The sequence below is a fragment of the Homo sapiens genome, chromosome 1 (assembly GCF_000001405.40).
Source record: "Homo sapiens chromosome 1, GRCh38.p14 Primary Assembly".
NCBI classification, from domain to species: Eukaryota; Metazoa; Chordata; class Mammalia; order Primates; family Hominidae; genus Homo; species Homo sapiens.
This window is the reverse complement of record NC_000001.11, coordinates 14,403,187-14,431,118: the sequence shown is the minus strand read 5'-3', so window position 1 is coordinate 14,431,118 and position 27,932 is coordinate 14,403,187. Positions and strand designations below refer to the sequence as shown.

General features: G+C 42.8%; 1 protein-coding gene and 1 long non-coding RNA gene across 7 annotated transcripts in view, besides 1 other annotated feature; one reads left to right on the top strand and one right to left on the bottom strand.

Annotated features, from left to right (window-relative positions):
* Window positions 1–27,932, bottom strand: part of KAZN (kazrin, periplakin interacting protein) — a 1,225,220-nt gene that overhangs the window by 686,925 nt on the left and 510,363 nt on the right. The window lies entirely within an intron of this gene.
* KAZN-AS1 (KAZN antisense RNA 1) overlaps window positions 11,146–27,932 on the top strand; it is a 71,019-nt gene continuing 54,232 nt past the window's right edge. The window contains exon 1 of the long non-coding RNA NR_149058.1: window positions 11,146–11,625. This is a non-coding gene — a long non-coding RNA (KAZN antisense RNA 1). The remainder of the gene's footprint in view (window positions 11,626–27,932) is intronic.
* Window positions 26,589–27,417: an enhancer, noted in NCBI's record as "OCT4-NANOG-H3K27ac hESC enhancer chr1:14730198-14731026 (GRCh37/hg19 assembly coordinates)". NCBI's record gives its function as "activates a minimal SCP1, AML or CMV promoter by ChIP-STARR-seq in primed H9 embryonic stem cells {active_cell/tissue: H9 hESC(primed)}" and the evidence as "EXISTENCE:reporter gene assay evidence [ECO:0000049][PMID:30033119]".

The window sequence follows — 27,932 nt, the reverse complement described above, 5'->3', positions numbered from 1 at the left end:
ATGCGTATTCATTTGGTCACCCATTCATTAATGTATTCATTCAATTACTCAATAAGCATTTATTGCACACTTATAATTACAAACCATGATAACTTCTCCAGAGAAAAGGGACATAATTTTCTGGGTCTATAACAGTGGAGCTTGTCTGAGGTCATGGGTTCCAGGAGTCTTCCCTAAGGAGGCTGTGGCGACAGAGCTGAGATGTGAGGATGGGAAGATGAGCTTTCTAGCCTCTTGCTCATTCCAGCCTTTGTGGCTTTGCTGAGCACTCCTCAGTCAGCAATGGGTTTTGCCCTCCTTTCCACCAACTGCAATGCCTTCAAGCTATGGCTCGATACCTGTCCTCTCTGTGAAGTCACTTCTCAACTGGGCTGCTTGTGCTCAGCACCCTGGTGTGAGTCCTGCAGGACTTAGGTTCTGTCCCACACCACCGTCAAGGGAACATGTGATTATCCTCTGTCTGGCTTGTGTGTCTTCTCAACCCAGCTATAAGCCCCAGAAAACAGTGGTTATCCTGTCCACCTCTTATTCATTATTGTGATGCTGGACACTGAGAGATTCCAAAAGAGCCACTTGTTGTCTGGACTTCTGTGTGAATAAAAAAATCATATCGTGCATAAAAGATGTCAGTATCAATAGGACCCAGGGGCAGGGTGGTGTGGTTAAGACCCTGAAAGCCAGACCCTTGGCTAATTTCTTTCGATAAATCTTTATTAAGTGTGTATTTTATGTCAAACTCTGTTCTAGGTGTTGGGGGTACATTCGTGAATCTGGAGGAACTTCTCATCTAGCAGGGCTCAACACACACACAGCAAACATGTGTTAATTCTATTGTAAGTTAAAAGGTGATATGGACAAAGGAAAAAAAAGTAGGCAAAGATAAAGAGTTTTTTTTTTTTTTTTTTGGTTGCAGGGCAGAGGTGGTGGAGGTGGACAGTGTTAGAATGTTAAACAGGAAAGTCACGAAAAGATTCCTTGAAAAGATGACATTTGAGCACATTCTTGAAGTAAGCCATGCGGTCGTTTGGGGGAAAGTGTTCCAGGCAGAAGGAATGACCTCTGCAAAGGCCCTGGAGTTGGAGGCTGCCTGGTGTGTTTGAGGAACAGCCAAGCCAGTGTGGCTGGAGTGAGTGATCGGGAGAGGGATGGGGGAAGAGGTCAGGAGATGCAGGGACAGGATCATGTGGAGCATAATAAAGAATTTGGCTTTTACTCTAAGTGAAATGGATTTATGTCCCACCCAGCCCTGTTGCTGTTCATTGTAAGAACTTGGGAAGTCAGTTCACCTCCCCAAACCTCAGTGGTCTCATTTCTCAATAGGAACGATGACGTCGGGATGATGACGATGATGATGACGACGACGACGGTGACATCTCCCCTAAAGGTCACTGGGGTGAGTATTACATGACATAAAGCCCAAAGACAGGTACCCAGTAATTCCTCAAATGCAAACAATGGCTCTTTCCATTTGTTTCCATGGTTGCACTGTCATTACTATTATGTTTATTGATTTTGGAAAGGGAAAGACGCTCCCCTTTTGTGAATGCCTTCTGCTTCTCAGAGACTGTGCCTGCCATAGTGTATCCCATCTAAGCCACTTCCCGGCCCTTTGGAAAGAGGCCCTAACTCTTTTGAAACTGGTGAGTAAGCCAAACCTTCAGAGAATAGTTTTGCTGAGTGTCCGACAGCTAGTTCAATGCCAAGCAGGATTTCGAACCCAGGTTCAACTGACTCAAAAGACTGACCATTTTCTGCCTGGCCAGAACAAGAGAAAAGGGGAGAACTTAGCCACGGTGTGTGAATGTTTTTGCCAATAGGGCCCTCATCCCTTTGTGTGAGAAAAGTTTGGAGACCCAGGAGGGCCCTGTGGGGCTTCATTCCTCAGAGATGCTGATGGGATTTCACCCTGCTATTCTTAGGAGATGACCATTCTCTCTAGTGTGTTTATAACTTAAAGCCTGATTTTCTAGAGCTTGACTGAAAGATCATAAAACTTATATGACACGGTCCCTCCTTGAATTATGATGGGAGAGAAAAACTCCCTTATGAATTCCAAAGATCAATAAGGACCTAGATATTTAGATATTTTCTGAAACTATCCTGGCCCAATTCACTGGACCAGAATATATGTAATACATATGTTCTAAAAAGCCTATACATTATATATGTTCTATATATAATATATATCCTGAAAAGCCTATATATATATATAAACGATATGGTTTGGCTGTGTCCCCACCCATATCTCATCTTGAATTGTAGTTCCCATAATCCCCATGTGTCATGGGAGGGACCAGGTGGAGATAATTGAATCATGGGGGTGGTTTCCCCCATACTGTTCTCGTGATAGTGAGTGAGTTCTCACAAAATCTGATGGTTTTATAAGGGGCTTCCCTCTTAGCTTGGTTCTCATTCTCTCTCCTGCCGCTCTGTGAAGAGGTGCCTTCCACCATGATTGTAAATTTCCTGAGGCTTCCCAAGCCATGTGGACTGTGAGTCAATTAAACCTCTTTTCTTTATAAATTACTCAGTCTTAGGTATTTCTTCAAAGCAGCACAAGAATGGACTAATACATATAATTTAAAGGCTTTTCAGATTTTAGAAAAGATCTTTGTAGGGTTCAGTTTGAGCTCAGTATAATGAATTATTTGTATCAAATTCTTGTTTGATCTGATTGAATATATCTATTTTTTATATACCTCCTTTACCTTTTTTAATGTCAAGAAATCACAGGGACTGTCTAGAAAGGGTTGAGATTTCTGCTGAGAAAAAGTACATTTGAATGGGGAGGGTATATCCTACAGAATGCCTATAATCATCCAGGTCACCATATGTACTCCCTTGATTGAAAGCACGGGCCTCTCTGAGCTCATTTAGTAACCCAAACTCCTGAGCTAGCACCTGAAAGAGTCATGGAATGTGCAGGAATTAAGAGCAGAGAATGTGCTAACTTCGTCTCACCAAATGAATTTATTCTTCCTGACAGTCTTTAATTAAGATGAGCTACCATGTACAGCATTTAGGAACCTGACATAAATCAGAATGTGAGACTTACATAGAATGTGACTATAACCTTGCCAGGGCCCTCATTCAGACTTGATGGATTCCAGCTCAAGCAACCTGGCCAAACATTGATAGAATCATTGAGTAGAGCTGTTGCCAATCGTCAGCCTGAAAGAAATCCATACTGGAACTCTTCGGCTATAGTTGTTGCCATGGAAAGCATTAGGAAGAACATAGTCTGGAGTTCATTTACAGGTAGTCCATTATAAATTTCAGTAATAATTTACATTAATGAGAACCTAGAAACTAAGTACAATCAGGGGACTAAAGAACTTGTATAATTTTGCTTTGTGGTGAGCATGGACTTGCTTGGTGGGCGGCAAACTCACACCCAACCACATTCTCCTTAAATTCTAAATGTCACTTCATAGTGACCCTATATTCTATATGGATTATACTTGGTATTTTTACTAACATGTGTGCACATATATACCATATATATACACACACACAGTATACATGTATACACATATGTGTACACATATGTACCTTTAATTTAGTATACATGTCTACATGTATACTGTGTGTGTGTGTGTGTGTGTTTAAATTATAGGTATTTGTTTTTTACTTTCCTTTACTTTTGGCCAAAAGGCTGAGTGAGGTAGGATAACTTCTACAAAAAACAATTACAATAATGTCTACTCCATATTAGGCAATCTTGTGAAAGTTTCATGTACATTATCTCATTTAAACACTGTCATAACATAAGAAGGCAAGGACTATTATTATCCCCAGTTTACAGATGAGAAAACTGAAGCCAAGAGAGCTTAAGTCACTTGCTTGTGGTCATATCATAATAAATGGGGGAGCCAGAGGTGAAGGGTGTACCGACACCATGAACCCCAGCCTTGAGGACACCTGCAGACATTTGAGGTCCTACCCTGAATGTCCCTTCCTTAGAAAAGCATTTCCTGATCTCTGGATTAGAAAACTGGGTCAGTTCTGCCTTGGGGCTTCCCTTCTCAGCCCTCTGGAAAGTAAACAATTTTACAGGTCTTGTGAGATTGCTGGGTTAATGCCAGTCTTCCCCATAACAGGAAGCGTCAAGTCTGTTTGCTCACCATGCATCTCCAGTACCTAGCTCTGTGCCTGGTGTACAGTAGGTACCTTGTTCACAATTGCTGGGTGAGTGATAGAAGAATCCAAGGATGTGAAAGGGAAAAGTTAAAGGAAACAAAGGGACAGGAGGGCTCAGAGCAGCAGTCCCTGAAGTCAGGGTTGGTGTGATCAGAAGCAGCCCAGGTATTCTAAAAGAGAAGGGGCTGACTCCCTGTTCCTGACCTAGCTCTGACCTTCTCAGCTTGGGAGGCACTGGATGGAGCGGGAGGGGCTGGACATTTGGCTTTCTAGTTCACTTGTCTCCCTCATGACTACCCGGGCCCTGCAGGCTTAAGCACAGAAGTCTCAGTCTCAGGTTGGGTATCAGAAAGCATCACCTCAGTGTGGCCACAAGATGGTTTTTGGGTACCAAAGTATCACTGATGTTCCATGGAGTAGGGCAACTGCAGTTGGGCCAGCTGGGGTCTCAGAGCAGCATTCTTTCATTCATGAACACTTAATAACCAATTCCATGTACCATGGCAGTGTTCTAGAGTCTGGGCATAGAGTTATGAATTAACCAGAGAAAGTCTCTGCCCTCATGAAGTGTACAATCTAACGGGGCTGAGGGGAGAAGACAATAAACACATAGGTAAGTCCTGTGGTGATACATGTGAGGCAGGAATGCAAGGAGGGTAAGGGTCTCAGAGTGAATGTGGGGTGAGTGGTCAGGGCAGGCCTTTCTGCAGAGGTGACATTTGAGCTGAGCCCTGAAGGAGGTCATTATGGGAGCCAGTTGCATGTCTAGGGAAAGAACATTCAAGAAAGAGATAACAGAAGATGCAAAACCATGAAATGAGAAGGTGCTTGGTGTGTCTGAGGAAGAGCTTAAAGGCCAGTGAGGCTGAGCTGATTCAGGCAGGATGAAAGGAAAGGAGAGGAGGCCGGGGGGCCCAGGCAGCCCTGTGAGGCCTTTACTCTGAGTAAGCTGAGTTGTCACTGTGTTCAGAACAGAGACTGTCAATTTACGCTGCAATTGCAGTCCTCCTGCCAAATCCAGATAAAAGAATGTTCTAGAAAGTTGGGGGATGGGCAGGGGAGATGGTGATGAATGTGTTGAGTGCACCTGGGCTCTCGAATCAGACAAACTTGGACTCAAATCTCATTTCCACCCCCACTAGCCAGGTGACCTGGGATAAATCCTGCAACTTCTGAGTCTCAGTCTCCTTACCTATAAAATGGGACAAATAATGTCCCCCTCACCAGGGCCACTGGGAGGACCAAGTGGGATAATGCAGGTGGAGCAATCAGCTCAGGGCAGAAAACTGAGACCCCAGCTGACCGCAGTTTCAGAGCAACATTCATGCATTCACGGACACTTGGTGGAATGTGTCCATGGATGAATTAATTAGTGGGGGTGAGACCGGGATTCAAGTCCAAGTTTGTCTGATTCAAGAGCCCATGCATAACCAGTTGCCAGGGCTGAGTGGATATCACAGTCTTATCTTACTGCACTATTGTTGTATCTTCTAGAGCCCCAGCTGGGACATGTGAGGGCATGGCAGTGGTTTTCCTGGGACTCTGCAGGATGAGATTCCATGGTGACTCTTGAACTCACAATGAACCTTCTTCTTGGTAAGCTGGCTTCTGGGGTGGCAAGAGGACACTGCAGCTGGAGCCTTTACTCAGGAGATGGGAAGACCAACCAGTGTTCCAGATGCCCCCAGCTATGGCAGGAGCTTCCTGAGGCTTGGTAAGATGTAGGGGCAGGCTCTGTCTCCCATGGCCTGACCCTAAAGCCAGGCATTGCAAATGCAATGTGAGAACATGGGCCTGCCTTGGCCAGCCCCTGCCCAGCTGGGTTCAGGTTGGCCTCTGATGAAGACACTGAGGCCACGAATCACTCTCCCCTCCCAACCTCCTCTCTGCATCCCACTGAACAATGCAACTTCAGTGAGCCCCAGAAACTCATTGGGCCAGGTATCTTCAAGCTCTGTTTTGTTAAAGTGACTTATGTTTTTCATTATGTGCTTTTGCATAACTTTCTTCCTTGCTGGAGAAAGCCAAGGAATATAAGATGATTTAGCTATGATATTAGAATAGCTTATGTTAAACCAAAGTATATTTACCAGCTCAGAGACCAGGTTGGCATTGGCTCAGCAAGCAGATGGGGCCTGGGAATCTATCTGGCCCTTCTTTTCTCTGGAATTACAGCTTAGGAGCTTTTTATAGGAATGGCTTGAGGCGTTGGCTAAAGATGTAGGAGATAGGAATAACTGGCAGAAGCTGTTGAAGCGTAGTTAGATGAGAAAATGGGTTCTTTGCAATGTAAACATCTAGAATCCCTTCCTGGTATCTGTCCTTACAAGGTCCCTTTCGTGGGCATTTCTAGCTTTTAGGACGATGGTGTGTGGGGCAAGTTGTGGCAACTCTAGAGGGTGCCATTTATGTCAGTGTCCATGTGAATGGCCGTGCAGTGGACAACCTGTGCAGCTGTACATGGTGGCTCTGCGTATGTGTGGGTGAGCTTAGTCTTGCAGGAGAAGGCACTCGCTTGCTGGGGAGCTGTGTACATTGGTGAAAAGTGCCTGAACTATGGCATCAGATCTGGGCTTATACCCTGGTGCTGTTACTTGCTGTAGACTTTAGACGAAGGGCCTAATTTCTCCCTGCCACGGTTGTCTCATCTGTGCTCATCTGAGCTCAGCCATGGAGAGGATTAAATGAAGCAACTTACGTGAAGTGTAATGATCATGAGACTACGATTTGCTGAATGTGGTCTTTGGGTCATTTTCTCCTTTTATCTTCATGACAATCTGTGAGGTGTGTATCCTCATTCTCATTTTCTAGAAAAGAAAGCTGAGGCTTTGAGAGGCTAAGCTACTTGCCCAAGTTTACTATGTGAGTTGGGACTCTGTGGATTGTGTTAGAAACTCAACTGGAACTAGTACAAGCAAGTGGAATTTGTTGTATTGGGTCAGAGAAGTGTCCAGGATGGGCTTAAGGCACATATGTATCCAGGGGCTCAAGTTACGTGCCCAGCTCTCTGCCTGTCCCATCTGTATTTGGCTTATTTCCCTCTGTTGGGCTTAATTCTCAGTCAGTGTCTTTTCCTTTATAGGCAAAGCTGATGTGGACGGTCCCAGCCTTACATTGTCTCTAGTGACTGCCTTCTCAGAGGAGAATTTGTATCTTCCCCAAAAGTTCCAGCAAAAGTCCCAGGAGAGAGTTTTGATGTCCAGGCCCGGGTCACTGGTCCATGTGGAAGTGAGGTCTTTAAGGGAAGTTCCATCTGAGCCACATGGACTGAAAATCAGGGAGGAATTGGATTCCAAAGTGATCAATCCACTAGGTATGGTTACAGAGTGACTATGTACTGGGAAGAGGATTTGGATCCAGTAGTGCTTGATCCATAGTAAGTGCTCAATACATGGCATCCTCTAGACCTGGTATTATCACGGCTATTGCATGTACTGTGTGTGGGGAGCTGAGGTCTTCAAAAGCTGGGTTCTGGATAGCATTGGAATCTTCTCCAAAGAGTTTCATACTTACTAGTATTTGCCCTGTGCCGTTTCAGGGATATTTTTACAAGAAAATACATTAACAGATTTGAAAACACAATAAAAAGTATAAAATCACCATGCTGCTATTTTAGTATATCTGGTAGCTCGTGATGACCCCCTGAAAAATAGAGTACATGCTGTTTTCCTCTAGTTTACAAAGAAGAAAATAAAGGGACTGCAGGCTTTTAAATCTGACCAATTTTCAGCCTAGGGTTTGTGGTCAAGCTAGGATGAAACCCAAGCTTCCTGTCTCTCAGTCCAGAGCCTTGTCATCAAGACAATGTTTCTCAAATTCTGTTCCAAGGAACACCAGGGTTCCAAAGAAGTGCATTGTGAGGGGCAGGTGCTAAGTAGACAGGGCCTTCGGATCTTCCAACAAGTTGCTATGAGACTAGCTTCCTCTTTATCTGTTTATAAAAGTGATAATTTGAGCAAAAGTTTTCACTGTTCTTAAAAGTTAATAAACTATTGCTGTGGACAAAGGGCTGCTACAAGTCAGCCCTTAGGCAAAGAAGCCTCAATCTGAGTTTCCTTGTTAGAAGTCAAATAGAGCTGAAGAATATAATCAAATGAGCTTCCATAGGGAAATTATTCTTCTACTAGAACCATAAGGAAAGCCTTGGGGATTAGAATCTGAGACCCAGACAATGGTCTAAGAATGTTCACATTGCCCCCAGAAAGATGAGCTGCCATCTCTTAGAAACCCACCTGCCTTCTGGACCACAAAAGAGAAGTTTACCAGGGATGAGCCTTTCTATATTTAATATCTTCTGGATGCAAGGATGTTACCTAGATATCATATAACTGTATTTGAATATAAAGCATCGTCTGTTTTCAACCCTTCAGGGGGCAGCTGCACCAAATCCAGCCACACAATGAGACTTTTCTTTTTGTTTCCTTCCATTCTAAGTGCAATGGAAGAGGTAGTAAGAGAAATAAAATACAAATGACTGCTTAGTGAACATCACTTAAGATTGGGCTGGGTGGTGCAGGTTGACCCTGGAAGTGTCTTATGCGCTGCGTAGCGTTTTGTTCTGGGCCAGCCTCATACTTTACCTACGTAGTTTGCCTGTGCTATTGAAGGAAAAGGGGAAGCTCTTCCCCACTGGGCTTGTTGCAAGGATTTAATCTATGTCGTCATGCTGCTGAGCAAGTGTTTTTAGGGCAGATAGCTGAGTAAACACGGAAGCCCACGGATGTTCTCTGAAGCACACTCAGATCACATCTCATCAGAACCCAGAATATGAAACTCACCAACCAAAGCCAAAACACAGAATTCAATTTAAGTTTAAAATAACAAAGGTAAAATAGCGATTTGCCTATTTTCTTCTTGGTTCACATTGGCTGACCAGGCTCCTTTGCTGCTGAAATTTCTCAGAACCTTCACCAATGTGCATCAGGAATATCCAAGACAGACTTTCCAAATCTCAGTCACTGGAGTGGACAAAATTCACTTTGCAAAATATTGACATTGGCGTGGAAGATGAGCCCATGCACTGTTGGATATATTTGTTACTTTGTTGCATTTACTAGCTCATTGGGCAGTCAGTGTAGTTGGTTATTCAGACAAGGGGAAGAGTTTCCCCAGGACCCAGTGTAGTAAGTGAAAGAGGCCGGGGGAGGGGAGGGGACTAAGGCCTATGTCAGGGTTTTGAAAGGTGAGCTTGGCCAACTCCGAGAGAAATTTTGTGGTAAAAAGAGTTTGGGAGATTCCTTTTGGGCAGTCACATGCCCACTCTCAAAATCAGGTTCTGTGAAGTTTTGAATAAAGACGCTTGTTCAACAGTATTTAACCCAGAATTTTCCAAACTTGTGGATAGAAGTTTGGAACATAAGTCGGCTTATGTTTCTAAGACTTTGGTTTGGGAAACATGCTTTATTGAACCCACAATGTCTCAGAATCACAGTTTGCCACTGTCCTAATGTGGTAACATTAAGGGAACAATCAACTGTGCATAGTAGGGTCTTTATGGGAATGTACATTCCAAGCCCTAATCAGGGATCAAGGGATGTGTTTTCTCCCAATGTGGCTTTCCTCGTGTCCTTCTTGGATGGAGACTTCAAAGCTACTGTTGGAGGATAGAGCATAGCACCCCCAAGAAAACCCATCCCAAAAGAAGAATGTAAGATAATACAGAGTCAATAACCAAATTCTGAATGGGGTGCTAGGAATGCTCTACTATTCAAGAACCATTCCCCCCATCACTCCAAGGAATATTTTAAAACTCACTGGGAGCTCTTCCCTGAATAATGAGGGCAAACAATTATTTATCATTGATACAAATTGATTACACACTATTTTCATCCTTTTAATTGATGTAGTAGTAGCTCTAGCTATAACCTAAGGCATAGTGTTTAAGACCAATTCCTGAGAGAGGGCAGCGTGCTGGCAGCCCTCTCTCGCTCTCCACGCCTCCTTGGCCTCGGCGCCCACTCTGGCCGCGCTTGAGGAGCCCTTCAGCCCACCGCTGCACTGTGGGAGCCCCCTCTCTGGGCTGGCGGAGGCCGGAGCTGGCTCCCTCTGCTTGCGGGGAGGTGTGGAGGGGAGGTGTGGAGGGGAGGTGTGGAGGGAGAGGTGCGGGCGGCAACCGGGGCTGTGCGCAGCGCTCCCAGGCCAGCTTGAGTTCTGGGTGGGATGGGCTCGGTGGGCCCCGCACTCGGGAGTGGCCGGCTGGTGCCGCCGGCCCCGGGCAGTGAGGGGCTTAGCACCTGGGCCAACAGCTGCAAAGGGTGCGCCAGGTCCCCCAGCAGAGACGGCCTGCAGGCGCTGCACTCGAATTCTCGCCAGGCCTCAACTGCCTCCCGGCATGGCAGGGCTCCAGACCTGCAGCGGGCCATGCCTGAGCCTCCCCACTCCTGCCGTGGGCTCCTGAGCTGCCCAAGCCTCCCCGACGAGCGCACCCCTTGCTCCGCGGCACCTGGTCCCACTGACTGCCCAAGGGCTGAGGACCAAGGGCTGAGGAGTGTGGGTGCATGGTGCGGGACTTGCGGGCAGCTCCCCCCGTGGCTCCGGTGGGGGAATCCACTAGGTGAAGCCAGCTGGGCCCCTGAGTCGGGTGGGTACTTGGAGAATTTATTTACGCCTAGCTCAAGGTTTGTAAATGCACCAATCAGCACCCTGTGTCTAGCTCAAGGTTTGTGGGTGCACTAATCAGCACTCTGTATCTAGCTAATCTGGTGGGGACTTGGAGAACTTTTATGTCTAGCTAGAGGATGGTAAATGCACCAATCAGCACTCTGTGTCTAGCTCAAGGTTTGTAAACGCACCAATCAGCGCTCTGTGTCTAGCCTCTCTAGTGGGGACTTGGAGAACTTTTGTGTCTAGCTCAGGGATTGCAAATGCACCAATCAGCACCCTGTCAAAACGGACCAATCAACTCTCTGTAAAACAGACCAATCAGCTCTCTGTAAAATGGACCAATCAGCAGGATGTGGGTGGGTCCAGATAAGGGAATAAAAGCAGGCTGCCGGAGCCGGGAGTGGCAATCCCCTAATGTTCCCTTCCACCTTGTGGAAGTTTTGTTCTTTCGCTCTTTGCAATAAATCCCATTGTTGCTCGCTCTTTGGGGTCTCACTGTCTGTGCGAGCTGTAATACTCGCCGCAAAGGTGTCTGGCTTCACTTCCGAGACCAGCGAGACCCCGAACCCACCGGGAGGAATGAACAACTCCGGATGGGAGGGACAAACAACACCAGACGCACCGCCTTAAGAGTCCTAACGCTCACCGCGGAGGTCTGCGGCTTCACTCTTGAATGAAGCCAGCGAGATCACAAACCCACCAGAAGGAAGGAACTCTGAACACATCCGAAAATCAGAAGGAACAAACTCCGGACACACTACCTTTAAGAACTGTAACACTCAAATCGCGAGGGTCCACGGCTTCGTTCTTGAAGTCAGTGAGACCAAGAACCCACAAATTCCGGACACTTCCCCACACAGAGGGAACTGGCCTAACACTCTGGTAAGTCCAGGGAAGAGGCGAGTGCTTCATGGAGTGGCTTGGACAGAGCACAGGCTTTGGGCACTCATGTTCTGTGACAAGGGAATGGGCTGGGAGGGATGGTGGCTTCCCAGGCAATGAGATAGATGGGGATGGCCGGGCAGGGTGGAAAGATCACGGACGTCAGACAGAATAGGGGTCAGACCCGGCCTTTCTTTCTTTTGCGCTTTATGACTTTGGGAAAGTCACTGAATTTCTCTGGGCTTCAGTTTACTTACTTTTAAAATGACAGCAGGAACAGTGTCCTCACAGCGTCACTGCAAAGACTATGTATAAGGTATATTTATTACAGTGCCTGGTTTATGCTGGCATAGAAGTTCCTTTGTAAAGATGGGGTGCTACCAAGAGATAAACTTTTTCTATTGAAAATGCTCAATACGGCTCACATAGGAATAAAAATATATAGCATCCTTGTATTTTTCCATGTGCTTATTGAACACTCGTTGACAGTTGTATCCGAATGGCAGGCTAGAAGTTTTCAGACAAGAGTTCACAGGGGGACAGTTTCTGGGTGCCGAGGTGGTCCCCACAAACCCCCATCCAGCCATCATTTCTGCAGATGCAGAAGCCTTATTTTCATTTGCACACACACAAGTGTACTGGTGACTGACTCATGGTAACCAAACTCACAAGACTCTGAGGGATTCTCTGTAGGCGAATTTCATGACTTTGAGTGGGAGAAGGGTCTGGCTTCAGAGCTAGGGAGAGTCCTTTGGCCTGCCCTACTTGAGAGATCAGATCATAGACAAAAAGTTGCTTTGGGAGTATACAGTTAGAAGACAAGCATTGGATCTCCTGAAAAATGCCTTGCCTCTGACTAGGAAAATCAGATTGTCTATAAAACAAGCCTTGCTATCTAGAGGCAAACTCATTTTCCTTGCCTGATGGTGATAAATTCTGACTGGTTCCTAATTTTCAATATTCTTTTCCTTGCACCAAGAACAAAATCACTTCCCACCCGAAAACTTACAACATAGAGGTAGAATGTTATTTCCATTGGTTACATGCTGACAGTAATAATAAAAGTAGTGGCCACTGTTTCCTGAGTGCTTCCTATGTGCCAGGCACAGTGCAAACTACTTTATGCATATTATCTCCTTTACTGATCACAGCAAGCCGGCATGGCTTGAGACTTTCCTGGGGAGGAAATGGACACTCAGAGAGGTTAGATAGCCTGCCAGGGTCATATAGTTAGGAACTTGTGGAGTTAAAAATCTGAACTCAGATCTTCCTGAATTTGAGCTCCTAATATCTCATCAACACTACCTTTAGTAAGATCTAAGGTTCTTATTCTTAGAAATTCTTGCCTCCATTGGACCCACAGGATATGCCGTGGTTCCACTGGTAACTCTGTATGGATCATCTCCTGGGAGGGGACATGTCTAGAGATGGCAAATCTTTCGATGTAGGTTTTTTTTTTTTTTTTTTTTTTTTTTTTTTTTTTTTTTTTTTTTTTTTTTTGAGGCAGTCTCACTCTGTCGCCCAGCCTGGAGTGCAGTGGTGTGATTTCTGCTCACTGCATGCTCTGCTTCCCGGGTTCACGCCATTCTCCTGCCTCGGCCTACCGAGTAGCTGGGACTACAGGCGCCTGCCACCACGCCCGGCTAATTTTTTCTATTTTTAGTAGGGATGGGGTTTCACCATGTTAGCCAGGATGGTCTTGATCTCCTGACCTCGGAATCTGCCTGCTTTGGCCTCCCAAAGTCCTGGGATAACAGGGGTGAGCCACCACACCCGGCCCGATGTAGGTTTCTTGTGGTTTAATTTCAGATGACAGTCTTTTTCTGATGGCCCCAAAGACCAAGGCTGTTCTTTCCTAGGGTCTCCTTGTACAGCCTGTGCGTACAGTAGCCACCTGTTTCTCTGGTTTGACTCCAACCAGCCAGGAGGGGCCAATATCCCAGTCTCACTTCAGTGATTGTCATTTGAGCTGATGTGTTTCATTGACTCCATGGCACTGGACAAATACATTGTAGACTGAGCAGCTGAAATTGGTTTCCTTATAGGCTTCTTAGTTCACCTTTCTGTGAAGGTGAAGTCAAATTAAGTATCTTTCCTTCCAAATCAGCCGCCAGAGAAATGGCGAAGAACCTCACTGTAACACTTTTGCTCTCGATAACAATTGGGTTCACTCAGTAGCCTGGTGCAATGGATTTAGCGTTTTAAAAATTGCCCTTCTTAATGGTGAAGTGTGATTTCATCAATGGAATAATAACATGCAGAAAGTACCTAGGATTATTGTTTTTCTTTGTTTTTTCCTTTTTTTTTTTTTATTTTGAGACAGAGTCTGGCTCTGTTGCCCAGGTGCAATCTTGGGTCACTGCAACCTCTCCCTCCCAGGTTCGAGCTATTCTCCCACCTCAGCCTCCTGAGTAGCTGGGACCACAGGCACATGCCACTACACCTGGTTAACGTGTGTGTGTGTGTGTGTGTGTGTGTGTGTACATATATATACATACACACATATATATACACATATATACATATGTATACACACATACACATATACACGCTCACACACATATATAGGCAGAATAGGGTTTCGTTATGTTGCCCAGGCTGGTCTTAAACTCCTGATCTCAAGTGATCTTCCTGCCTCAGCCTCCTAAAGTGCTGGAATTACAAGCATGGGCCACCACCACATGCAGCTGGGTTTTTTTTCCCTTTTTGCTTATATATAATAAAATTAAAATTTTAAGCAATTATTTTTTTTTCTTTGAGACAGAGTCTTGTTCTGTCACCCAGGCTGGAGTGCAGTGGCGTGATCTCAGCTCACTGCAACCTCTGTCTCCTGGGTTCAAGCAATTCTCCTGCCTTAGGCTCCTGAGTAGCTGGGATTACAGGTGCCCACCACCATGCCCGGCTAATTTTTGTAGTTTTATTAGAGATGGGCTTTCACCATGTTGACCAGGCTTGTCTTGAACGCCTGACCTCAGGTGATCTGCCTGCCTTGGCCTATCAAAGTGCTAGAATTATAGGCATGAGCCACTGCATCCAGCCACCAACTCATTTTTTATATTACTATCAAGGCAAATGTTCTCTAATTTACTGCTGAAATGTCACTTTGCAGAAACCCAACTGTTACTTGATTCTGTATCAAGAAGTCACTCTCTAGTGACATTCCGTAATATTTTATACCCAAACAATCCATCAGTGCCAAGTCCTGTTCTGTAGACATGTCTAGAATGTGAATGCATATAAATGATGGTCCCCTAGAGTTAGATGTAAGGTGACACATAATCAGGGGGTGCTTAGCTCCTAATTCTGTCCAGGGAATCCCTGAATGAGGCACTGCTGCAAATGCTACTACAGCCCCAGAGCCAAAAAAATTGCAGCTGCCCATTGCTCCTCGGAATTTCACTTAAGTTCATGAAGCAGGAGAGCAGTGCCTTTTTTCTGCAAACTCTTCAGCAGCCCATTTTTGCCTCCGCCCCTCAGCTGCATTTTCCATCTCCTGCATGTGGTGTCTCCCCATTCACCTGACTACAGCCCCTGGAGTTTGTCTTTTTTCTCATCCCTTTGCCAGACTGAAAGTGACATCATGGAGGTGCTGGGTGGCCATGCTTGGGAAGCACGCCTTCTGCTTTCAAGTACATTTTTTCCAGAAGCTGATCCAAGACAACAACACAAGCACAAGGGGTTCTTTGGGGGAAGCGGGGCTAATACTGGTAGGGAAGTAGGGAAGGGAGTCAGGGAAGGGAAGGGAAGGCAAAATGTCCTACTTACTACTACACCTGCTGCCATGGGTTGCTGAATGCCATAGGAAACTGCACAACACAGCACAAGCCTCTGCATGATCCCAGTCCAGAGGCGAGGGAGCTGGGGTATTCACATACTCATTCTTAACGGCCACTGGTTGATGGCTGCATTCCTTAGCAGGTCTGGTCTACCACCTGGGGGCAGCACAGACTTCAGTGGGTGGGGGTCGAGGACTGGGGAAGAACCCTCAGCCCAGTCATGAGACACTGTTTGTTGGAAATCAGCTGGAGCACCCAAAAAGGTCCACAGAATAGGGACAGGACAGTGGCCCCATCTATCATACCTGTTACATCTGAGACAGCAAATTTACCCAAACCCTCAATTTTACCTCCAAAATATATAATGGTTCTGTCTACTTCTCCATCTTCAACCTCTTCCCTAATCCTAGTGAGCCTAATCTACATATTGTCCGGATTAATACTACAGCCTCTGGATTGTATTTACTTTTACTAATTAAAAAAATATTTTATAATGAAATATTTCAGGCAGACAAGGAAAATAATGAGAATAATGTAGCTGACACTAGATCCATCATCGACCTTGCTACATTTCAACACGATGTCTAATTGCTTTACTTACTTGCTTAATAGGATTAAAGTTTTGTAGATACAATTGAAGCTCCCTCTGTGTTCCTTTTTTGTATGTATGTACGTACGTATTTATTTATTTTGAGATGCAGTCTCACTGTATCGCCCAGGCTGGAGTGCAGTGGTGTGATCTTGGCTCACTACAACTTCTACCTCCTGGGTTCAAGCAATTCTCTTGTCTCAGCCTCCCAAGTAGCTGGGGCTACAGGTGTGCACCACCATACCTGGCTAACTTTTGTATTTTTTAGTAGAGACGGGGTTTCACCATATTGGTTAGGCTGGTCTCGAACTCCTGACCTCAGGTGATCCATCATCCTCGGCCTCCCAAAATGCTGGGATTACAGGAGTGAGCCACTGCTCCTGGCCTCTGTGTTCCTTCTTGATCTTATTCTCCTCCAACTCTCCCAGAGGGATTGATGTTTATCATCCCTATGTATGGTTTTCTATTTTTGCTACATACGTATAACACACACACACATACACACACACACACACGGTATGTGCATGCAAGATTGTTTTACATTTCTTCAAACTTACTACATTGGCATCATGCTGAATAAATCATTCTGAAACTTATTTTTTGCTAAGCATTATGTTTCTACAGTTTCATCCATGTTGATGCATGTGGTCCTGGTTCAATCATTTTAACTGTTGTATGACATTATGTGAGTACACTACAAGTTACTCATTTATTTTTTGGTTAGTGGATTCTTGGCTCCTTCCTCTCCCCCACCACTATAAAAGGTTTTTTTTTTTTTTTTTTTCCTATGACAAATAGTGCTGCAGTAAATACTCTTTGGCTTTACCAGTTACTTTGGGAACTCGTGGGAGTCTTTTCCGTATATTCTTAGAAATGGAAATGCTGAAAACTAGAACATGAACATCTCTAGTGTTACTAAATATTGCCAAATTCCGCTGTAAATTAAACCATGCTCTTCCATGGACAGGGTGTAAGAATTCCTATGTCTCTACATCCTCACCAACTCTTGATGTTGTCATTTTTAATTTTTGCCCATCTAGTGCAAAGCATGTTATGGGCCTTGGACATTTCTCCACCTTGGCTTCCTGCCTGTAGCATCTGGGGAGAAGGTTCCTGCCAGGCATGATCGGAATGAAAAGATCTCCTTGTTTTACTTTGCACTTCCCTGATTACTAATGAGGTCAAACATTTTTTATATGCTTAGAAGCCATTCGTATTTTGTCTTTTGTGACCTTTCAATGTATACCCTTTACCTTCCATTTTATTGAGTCATGTTCTCACTGAATTGTGGATATAACTTTTGTATATTCCAGATGCTAATTTTTAAAATGTATCTAGTCTCACTCTGTGATTTGCATTTTACTTTGTTTGCAGTAGCTTTTGTTTTCTAGATGATTTTAATTTTAATGTCTTCAGATTACCATATTTTCTTTGTCATTTGTGTTTCCAAAAGCAATTCTCTACCAAGAGGTCATAAAGGTAGTCTTCCTATATTTTCTCTTAAATGCGTTTTTTTTTTTTTTTTTTTTTTTTTTCTTTTGAGACGGAGTTTCACACTGTTGCCCAGGCTGGAGTGCAGTGGCGCGATCTCGGCTCACTGCAAGCTCCGCCTCCGGTTTCACGCCATTCTCCTGCCTCAGCCTCCCGAGTAACTGGGACTACAGGCACCCGCCACCACGCCCGGCTAATTTTTTGTATTTTTAGTAGAGAGGGGGTTTCACTGTGTTAGCCAGGATGGTCTCGATCTCCTGACCTCGTGATCCGCCCGCCTCAGCCTCTCAAAGTGCTGGGATTACAGGCGTGAGCCACAGTGCCTGGCCAAATGCATTTTAAAGGTTTCTCTCTTTCTGTATTGAGGTAAAGGTCTAATTTAATTATTTTCCGTATGGAAAAATGGCAACCCCAGTACTACTTATTGTCAGTCCATCTTTTTCTCACTAATTTATGATGTCACCTCTATCTAATAGATATCTAATCTCTATCTAGTAGGTATCTAATCTACTATCATAGATTAAGTTCATATATATGTAATATATTATATATAAACAAATGGATCAATGACCCAAAGTAGAATGCTCAGATTTAATCCTATGTAATATATAAATACAAATAACTTATTATATATATTTATATATGTGTTTTTATATTTTATATATTTATACATTTTATATATTTATGTATTATATATAGGATTAAATCTGAGCATCCTATTTCAGTCAGTTGATTTATTTCTGAGTCCATATCACAGTGTCTTCATGACTACAATTTTATGATATCTTGATATCCAGGCAGAAAATCCCCTCCCCATATTGTTCTTTTTAAAAATTATTTTGTGTCTTTGCTTTTGCATATATAACTTCCATGAAAAATTATTTTATTATAATTCTATTCTTGATAAAAATTATATTAACTTTATAGACTGGTTTAGGGGGATTTTCATTTTATAATATTGATTCTTTTCACTAATGAACAGGAGCTATCACCCAGCCCTTCCTTTCTCTAGATTTTTTCCTCTTCTTTTATGTATTTTAATAAAGTTTCATACATTTCTCCATAAAAGTTTATTCCTAGACACCTTTAAGTTTTTATTGCTAGTGCATATAGTATCTTTTTAGAACTACTTGCTAATTTTTTTAGCTAATGTATACAATTGATTTTTGTATACTTGAGCTTGTTCTCAGCAAAACTGCTGAGTTCTCAGTTTTATCAGTTTGTATGTCAATTCTTTGAGTTTTCTATGCAGATAACTTTGTAAGTAGTGAAAGTTTGGGGTTTTTTCTCCTAATTCTTCTATATGTGAGTACTTTTATTTTGGTTGTTCTTATAAAAGCATAGAGCATATAGATCTTGTTTACTCATTAGAGCTTCTGTGTTTTAAACAGTGGGATTCATTTGTTTACATTTTTATGATACTTGATATACTTAGATTTATGCCCTGATGCATTGAGGTTTATTTTGCCCATCTTAATTTGCACTTGCTGTTTGTCACGTCTTTTCTTTGTACACTTTCCTCCTCTTTCCTATGACCCCCTGAGAATGAACATCAAGTTACAGGAAAGAGAAATAAAAATAAATCTACAATTAGGCACACTCCAGTGAAACGGGAGAATGCCGAATACAGAAAAACAACCTTGAAAGCAACCAGAAGAAGTACAGGGGGCAATGACCAGAATGACAGTCTGTCATTTCAAATTTCTCTAATTGTGTCTATTTTACTTTATACAATTTAAAATTAATCAGTACCTCTGCTTCTGAATACAAAGACCAGAACTTTTTAACTCATAGACTTTCTTTTTATGTTACGTGTTATTACTGTCTGGTATTTTCATTTCACCTTTTTTATGGTTCCAGCTCACATTTGATGCTTGATTTTCTGTTGAATCACATGTTTTTTTCATTTCATTACTTAATATTTCTTCCTGTACCTCACTGTGTCTTTCTGGGTTTTAGTCCTTCTTTCTGAAGTGCATGTAACTTTTAGAAGCAGCTCTTTCAGCAAGCTTCTATTAATGGGAAATTTAGTCTTGCCAGGGGAGCGCGGTGGCTCACGCCTGTAATCCCAGCACTTTGGGAGGCCAAGGCAGGCAGGCAGATCATTTGAGGTAAGGAGTTCAAGACCAGCCTGGCCAACATGGCAAAACCCCATCTCTATTAAAAAATACAAAAATTAGCTGGGTGTGATGGTGCATGCCTGTAATTACAGCTACTCGGGAGGTTGAGGCAGGGGAACTGCTTGAACTAGGGAGACGGAGGTTACACTGAGCTGTGATCACGCCACTGCACTCCAGCCTGGGTGACAGAGCGAGACTCGGTCTCAAAAAGAAATTCGGCCTTGCCTGCCTGAAAATGACTTCATTTTATCCTCACTCTTGAATGATAATTTGTTTCTGTAAGCAATTTAAAGATATTATCCATTGTCTTCTGGGCTACATTAAAGTTTTGAAAAACATACTGTCATTCTGGTCATTGCCCTCTGTACCTTTTCCGGTTGCTTTCAAGGTCATTCTTCTGTATTTGGCATTCTCCCGTTTCACTGGAGTGTGCCTAGTTGTAGATTTATTTTAATTTATCTTTCCTGTAACTTGATGTTCATTCTCAATCTATCCATATATGTTGTGTTCGTTTCCTAGGGATGCTGAAACAAATCACCAGAAACTTGGCGGCTTAAACAACAGAAATTTATTCTCTTCCAGTTCTGGAGGCCAGAAGTCCACAATCAGTGTCCTGGGGTTAATATCAAGATGTTGGCAGGGCCATGTGCTCCCTCCGGAGGCTCTGGAGGAGAATCCATGCCTGGCCTCTTTCGGGTTCTGGTGGCCGCTGGCATCTTTTGGTTATTGGCCACACCACTCTCATCTCCAAGGCCAGCATCTTCAAATCTCTCCAGGGTTCTCTTTCACATTGCCCTTCTCTTCTGTGTGTGTCTGTATGAAATCTCCCCTACTTCCCTCTCATAAGGACAGTTCTGATTGTATTCAGGGCCTGCCTGGGTAATCCAGGATATGAATTCCATCTCAAGATCATTAACTTTTTCACATCTGTGAAGGTCCTTTTTCCTATCAGGCAACATTTAACTGTCCTAGGGATTAGAACTTGCTGTCTTTGGGTGGCCATGATTCAATCTACTATGCATGTCCGTCATCTAAATTCTGAAAATTCCCAGCCATAACAACTCTTCCCAATCCTCTCTATTCTGTAGTTCTGGAACTCCTATTAAAAGTAAACTGGGCCGGGAATGGCGACTCACACCTATAGTCCTAGCACTTTGGAAGGCCGAGGTGGGTGGATCACTTAAGGCTATGAGTTCAAGATCAGCCTAGCCAACATGGTGAAACTGTCTCTACTAAAAATACAAAGATTAGCTGGGCATCGTGGCATGTGCCTGTAGTCCCTGCTACTCTGGAGGTTGAGGCACAAGAATTGTTTGAACCCGGTAGTCGGAGGTTGCAGTGAGACGAGATCACGCTGCTGCACTCCAGCTCTGGTGACAGAGCAAGACCCTCTCTCAAAATAAATAAATAAATTGGACTTTTCCAATTAATATTCTGTTCTGTTTAACTGATCTCTCATGATTTTTGCCTTTTAACTCTGTGCAATACATTCTGAGTAATTTCCTCATATCTATCTTCCAGCTGATTGTTTTTTCATATCTGATTAATCTGCTGTTCAAGCCATCAGACAATTTTAATTATGACTTTTAATCTAGAAATTTGATTATTTAAAAAATCTGCCCTACTTTCCTCCTTAGAGTATCTGTTATATTCTGTTTTTTGATGGTCTAGCTTATGATTATGATTATTCTGAAAATACTATCTTTCAGATAGTTCTTTTATTGGGAGTTTTTGAAGGGAGCGTCTAGTCCCTCAGTTTGCTGTAATTTCTGACTCTTGCACATGGTGAAGTTTTTCCTTGTACATTTGTAGTTTGAGATTGAAAGCTCATTTTCAGCAGAGCTTTTTCTATGGGAATTTTGTGTGACCTGGGTTGAAGGTGCATGTCTCTCTGGCCGTTTTGTGTTGGCTTCTTATAGATTCCCCATGGATATCACTGTTTGGTAACAGTGTTTGAGCTCCTTTTCAAGTTGGGGCTTCTGGGGTAGTGTGGGTAATATAAATTTGAGCTTATGTGAGATCAAGTTCTTGGTATGAATTTTCAGACAATAATTTTGTTTTAACAGAATCTACATCAAGGAACTCAAGCGCTCTTGTTGTCTTCCTGGGCAGGTAGGTGGTTTTCCTCCATCTACCTTTCATGGCGTGGTTAATATTAGCCCTCCCAGAGTCCTGGCTTCATGTGGATACACTCATTGCTCTTGAGTCTAAGACATCAATCTCTGTACCTTTCCAGGCATTAAAAATTCTAATCCCTGTGTGTTAAGATGGCTTTTCACTTCCTCTTTTGTTTCTGGTTCCTAGAATAACTTTTTTTCTGGAAAGCTCATCTATGCATTTAAAACAATGCCTACTGTATTTTGTCAAACATTTGTAACTGTTTGTACAAGAGGGTTGCCTTCTGAATCACCACTCAGTAGCCATGCTAGTCTTTCCGAAAGTTCTCAGAACACACCATTATCTTTCTTGAATAAAGGCTCTGCATTGAAAAAATTCCCTCTGCCTGGAATGTTTTCCCATAGTTGGCTCTTGTCCATCCTCTGGTCTCATCTTAAATATCCTCTGCAAGATCCTTCCTGACCCCATCTCCATAAAACAACGCCCCCCCTCCATTATTCTCTACCCCATCCTCTTCTTTTCTTTCATGGAATTGATCACAATCCATATTTGCCTTGATTATTTATTTGTGTACTTGTTCGTGGTTTGTCATGCCCTCTAGAATGGATGATGCAGGGACCTTCTCTGGTGCTATGGCCTGAATTGTGTCCTTTCTCCCCCCAAATTCATATGTTGATGCTATAACTCCCAACATGATCATATGTGGCCTCTAAGAAAGTAATTAAGTTAATACAGGTGAGGCCTTGATCTGATAGGGTAAGTGTCCTTATAAGAAGGTTAGCCAGAGGACTCGTTCTCTTTGTTGTATGAGGACACAGTTGAGACGATGGAACCTGGGAGACGGCCCTCACCAGGAACCTGACCAGGCCGGCTCCCTGATCTCAAACTTCCAGCCTTGACAACGGTGAGAAAATAAATGTCTGTTGTTTAAACCACCCAGCCTGTGGCTTTAGTTATAGCAGCCCAAGCTGACTAATACATCTGGCTTTCCCCCTCTGAATCTATGGGATCTACAGTGCTAGGCAGTATCTACTAGATGAATGAAGGAACACACCAAAGCTACAGATGCTCAAAGGACTCCCCCTATGCCCACAACAGACTTGCAATAAGGCTGTGATGTTCTAAAAACCAAAAGATACATCCCTCTTGGCTCATGGGCCTAAATTCTTTCCTCCTTCTCATGCATAAACTCTAATATTCAGAAAATCCAGACCCCAGCAAAAATGTAAGCATTTGCAGAGAGGACTTTTAATTATGACCAAATCAAGAGATTTCTCACCTTAATAGGTCCTAATTGGGGATCATTCTCAGCTTGTGCAAAACCTGACCTGAGGGGCAGCCCCCTGGTGAATCAGGTACCTGCTGCCTGCTCTAACTGAAGTCAGTCACTTTGCCCAGTTCCCCATGGATGTGATAAATTGAATTGAGAGGTGTGTGAGTAAATAAAAGTAGCATAAAGAACCTGCATAAAGTAGCAAATAATGAAATGTCTAAAAAACAAATTAATTTTCCCATTTTGAAAGCAATATAAGCACTTTCCAGGAGCTCTGAAAGTAGAAAAACTAAACCACTCATAACTTAAGACCTACCATAAGCCTCAGTAATCATTCAAGTGCATATTTGTCTTTTTAAAAAAAAAGACATGGTTTTTGTTTGTGTTTTTGTCCATCATTTGTTAAGAACTTACTATATGCATGATAACAGTTTATACAACACTCTACGCTAGGTGTGATTATTCTCATTTTAAAATGACATAACATGAGTGTAGAGAGATCAGGAAACTGGCTCAAGGTCTCACAGGCAGGTTGTGGACAGGGAGAGGCTTGACCCCAGATCTGTCTGATTTTATACCCTGTTCACATCTTCTCTTGCAACTCTGGTATTATATTGCTTTGCCTCCACCTTCTTTTCTTTGGAGCTACAATCACACTTAACTTCATATCCCTCTTTTTCCCCCCATTTACCACCACAAGATTCTTTTGCCTGTTGGATAGTCTTTGTAAGGACTTCTTTCAATGACCAGCAGAACAATATCTGATCACTATTTTCTCATTCAACAAACTGAGCACTTTGGGACATAATTTAGCTCAATCTTATAAAATTAAATACTTGTCTATCCTATGACCCAGCAAGTCCTCTCCCAGGTCTTAGAGAAAATCCCAGAGGTGAGCCCTCTGCCATGGACAAGAGTTCACAGGAGCATTGTTGAAAATACAAAAACGAGGAATGACCCACATGTCCATCGACGGAATGAATATTCTCAGTAATATCTGAATACAAATGTTGCTAGTGTAATGTTGAGTGAACAAAGCAAGTCTCTGAAGCTACCATTTTTATAAAGCATGAAAACAAGCAAACTAAGTGATCTATTTTGGGGGTACTCATAGATGACTTGCGAAACTGGAAATTCATTCGGTACACAGCTATCGAGTGCCTGCTAAGTCTCAGCTCTTCTGTTTGCACTTTATGTACAGCAGCTTATTTATTCCTCACTTCAAGCCTATGAGCTATCTACTATTATTAGCTGTCTTTTACAATCGAGAAAACCAAGACACAAAGAGTGTGAGTGTGTTGGTTAATTTTATGTGTCAACTTGACTGGGCCACAGGGCATCCAGATATTTGCTCAAATATTATTCTGGCTGTTTCTGAGAAGGTGTTTTAGGATGAGATTAATACTTGTTTATTTAATCATTTTAATTTTTTAATTTCCATAGGTTTTGGGGGAACAGGTGGTATTTGGTTACATGAGTACGTTTTTTAGTGGTGATTTGTGAGATTTTGGTGCACCCATCATCCAAGCAGTATACACTGAACCCAATTTGTAGTCTTTTATCCCTCACCCCCCTCCCATCCTTTCCCCTCGAGTTCCCAAAGTCCATTGTGTCATTCTTATGCCTTTTCATCCTCATAGCTTAGCTCCCACTTATAAGTGAGAACATTCGATGTTTGGGTTTCCATTCCTGGGTTACTTCACTTAGAATAATAGTCTCCAATCTCATCCAGGTTGCTGCAAATGCCATTAACTCATTCTTTTTTTATGGCTGAGTAGTCTTCCATTGTGTGTATATATATCACAGTTTCTTTATCCACTTGTTGATTGATGGTATCCTAAATGTAATTTTTATTTTTATTTTTTAAAATTATTAAAAACAAATTTGTGAGTACATTGTAGATGTATATATGTAGGGGGTACCTGAGATGTTTTGAGACGGGCACGCAATGTGAAAAAAGTAGATTGTGGAGAATGGGGTATCCATCCCATCAAGCATTTATCCTTTGAGTTACAAACAAGCCAATTACATTCTTTATGTTATTTCAAAATGTACAATGAAGTTATTGTTGACCATAGTCACCCTATTGTGTGCTATCAACTAGTAGGTCTTATTATTCATTACTTCTCATTTTGTGCACCGATTAACCATCTGAGATTGACATTTAAATCAGTAGACTGAGGATAGCAGACTGCCCTCCCTAATGTGGGCAGGCCTCATCCAATTCCTTGGAGGCATGGATAGAACAAAAAGGTTGATCCTCCCCCAAATAAGAAAAAATGCCTCCTGCCTGACTGCTTTCACACCGAAACATCAGCCCTTCCTGGGTCTTGAGCTGGCTGGTCTTTGAACTGGAATTACACCATGGGCTTTCTGGGGTCTCCAGCTTGTCAACTCACCCTGAAGATCTTTGGAACTTGTAAACCTCCATAATCTTGTGAGTGCCAATTCCTTATAATAAATCTCTCTCTCTGTATAAACACACACACACACACACACACACACACACACACACACACATTTTATTGGGTCTGTTTTTCTGGAGGATGCTGATTAATATGGTAAGTAACTTGCCCAAATGACACACAGCTAGGAAGTGCTGAGGCAGGTCTTTTGGACTCTAGAACCAGAGTGTTTATCCCATTGCCTCTCCCGCTTCCTCTCCAACACAACGCAAAACTACTCTTATAGGACTGCCAAGACTCAAAGTGGATCTTAAGTGTCAAAACTTTATAATCAATGTACAGGCTTTCCTGAAAATCTATATGATTTCTTGGTTTCAATGCTTTGTAAATCATACATTTCCTTCCCCGCTGGGCATACAACCAATTCTAATATCACATTTGAACTCAAACAGGCTCATACCCAATACAAAGTATCTTGCATTCCTCATCAGTTTCCATCAGAGCAAAAGAGAAAGAATCTGCATTTCAAATCGTTGAGTTTGTTGTCATGACAACACATAGCCTTGGTCTGCTCTGAGCAGTGGTATGCAAAGTTCTGAGTTGAAAGCATTTTGTATATGTATTCAGGAGGTGGGTTTATTCACACACACTGCTATCCCCCTACCCCCCACCACACACAAAGACAAGATGTTTCTTAGCTGCCTTAATGCAATGTAGAAAACATAAAGAATGCACAAAGGCATAGAATTCCAGGAGGAGCTCTCCCAGCAGGATGGTGAACATTTGCTCTTCTTCCACACTCATCTTTACAATGATGTGACAGAATGCCAGGTGTTAGATAGCATTCCTTCTTAAGGAATTTATTGAGTGTTCTTTAAGTGGACCTTTCTTACTCTTTTACAATACATACATGTCAATGACAATATATGTTGGTGTTTGCATATATACATTTCATCAATTAGTTTGTTTTTCTTACTATTTTTGAGAATTTTCAGTACTTCATTCTCTTAACTGGGTTAAGTGATGCATCTTATGAATAGAGCCCATTGATCTTTTCTCCTATTTACAGACATTTTAATTATTTCTAAGTTTTTCTTTCCCAGAGTAAACAGTGCTGCAGTGAACATCTTCATGCATATCTCCTTAGGCACTGAGGGAGAACTTGTTTCAGGAAATGGAATTGCTGGATTCTAGTGCATGCATTTTTTTGTTGTTGTTTAGGCCTGCCAGGTACCTTGTTGTTCCAGCACACTGATACGGGAGATAGAAAGAAATTATTTAGGCAGATAGTAAGGGCAACAGAGTCCGCAGTGGAATTTCCCTTTCAACAAAAAGCAGCACCCAAATCATTTCTTTTCTAACAAAGAGCAGCCTGAAAAATCGAGCTGCAGACACAGATAAGCAAGTTGGAAGCTTGCACAAGTGAATGCTGGCAGCTGTGCCAATAGGAAAGGGCTACCTGAGGTTCAGGCATGTTCGACATGGAGTCTCCGTCTTCCCTTTTCTTTGTCACCATGGGTACAGTAAAAGCAGGTAATACAGCGTCAACTAGGTAGATAACCCATCTGCATAATAAAAGATGAGGGTGGGGCGACCAGCCTCTTCCCGTGTTATGCAAACGGCACACCTAGTCATAACCAGTTCTTTGCGTGCTATGCAAGTGGCACACCTGGTCCGATCAATCTTTTGTGCCCTATGTCAATCAGACACCACCCCCTCAAGTTCCTCTATAAAACCTTACGCATTTCACTGCAGAAGCGGCAACCCATTTTCTCCGGGACCTCTCTGCGCAGAGACCTCTTCTTTTTCTTTTGCCTATTAAACTTCCGCTCTTAACTTCACTATAGTGTGTCTGCATCCTTGATTTCCTTGGTATGAGGCAATGAATGTTGGGTATTACCCCAGAAAAATGATGCCACTTCATCACTTTTCCAGCAGTAGCATTTTCACCAACACTTGATACTGTCAGGTTTTAAACTTTCCTCCACAGATGCTGTGAAATGGTATCTCGTTACTAGTTGCAGTTCCAGACTGTGAGTGAGGTTGAGGCTCTCCTCCCATGGGTTCTAGACTGGCCATTTCATATTTCTTTTCTGTCATTTCTCTATTTTGATTTTGTTAGTGTGGTTCTTTTGTTGTTGGTTCTTTGTCCTTTTCTTATTGATGTTGAAAATTCTTTATATATTCTAGATACTAATTCAGTTATATGTTGCAAATACCTACTTCGAGTCTGTGGTTTGTCTTTCAATTTTGTTCACAAAAGGCTTATAAAATTGAAATGAACCAAATATTAATGTTTCTTTTGCTGATTTTTTTTTCGTTTGGGGAGTAAAGGGATCTTTACTAAGAACTCTTGGCTGAGCCTGAAGCTTCAAAGACATTTTCTTCTAATAGATTTAAAGTTTTCTTTTTGCATCTAGGTTTTGATCCATCTGTTTTAATTTTTGAGTATGGTGTGAAGTAAGGATGTACTTTCATTTTTTTCTTACATACAAAGCTAATTCTCCCAGCACCATTTGTAAAGGTGTTTAATGG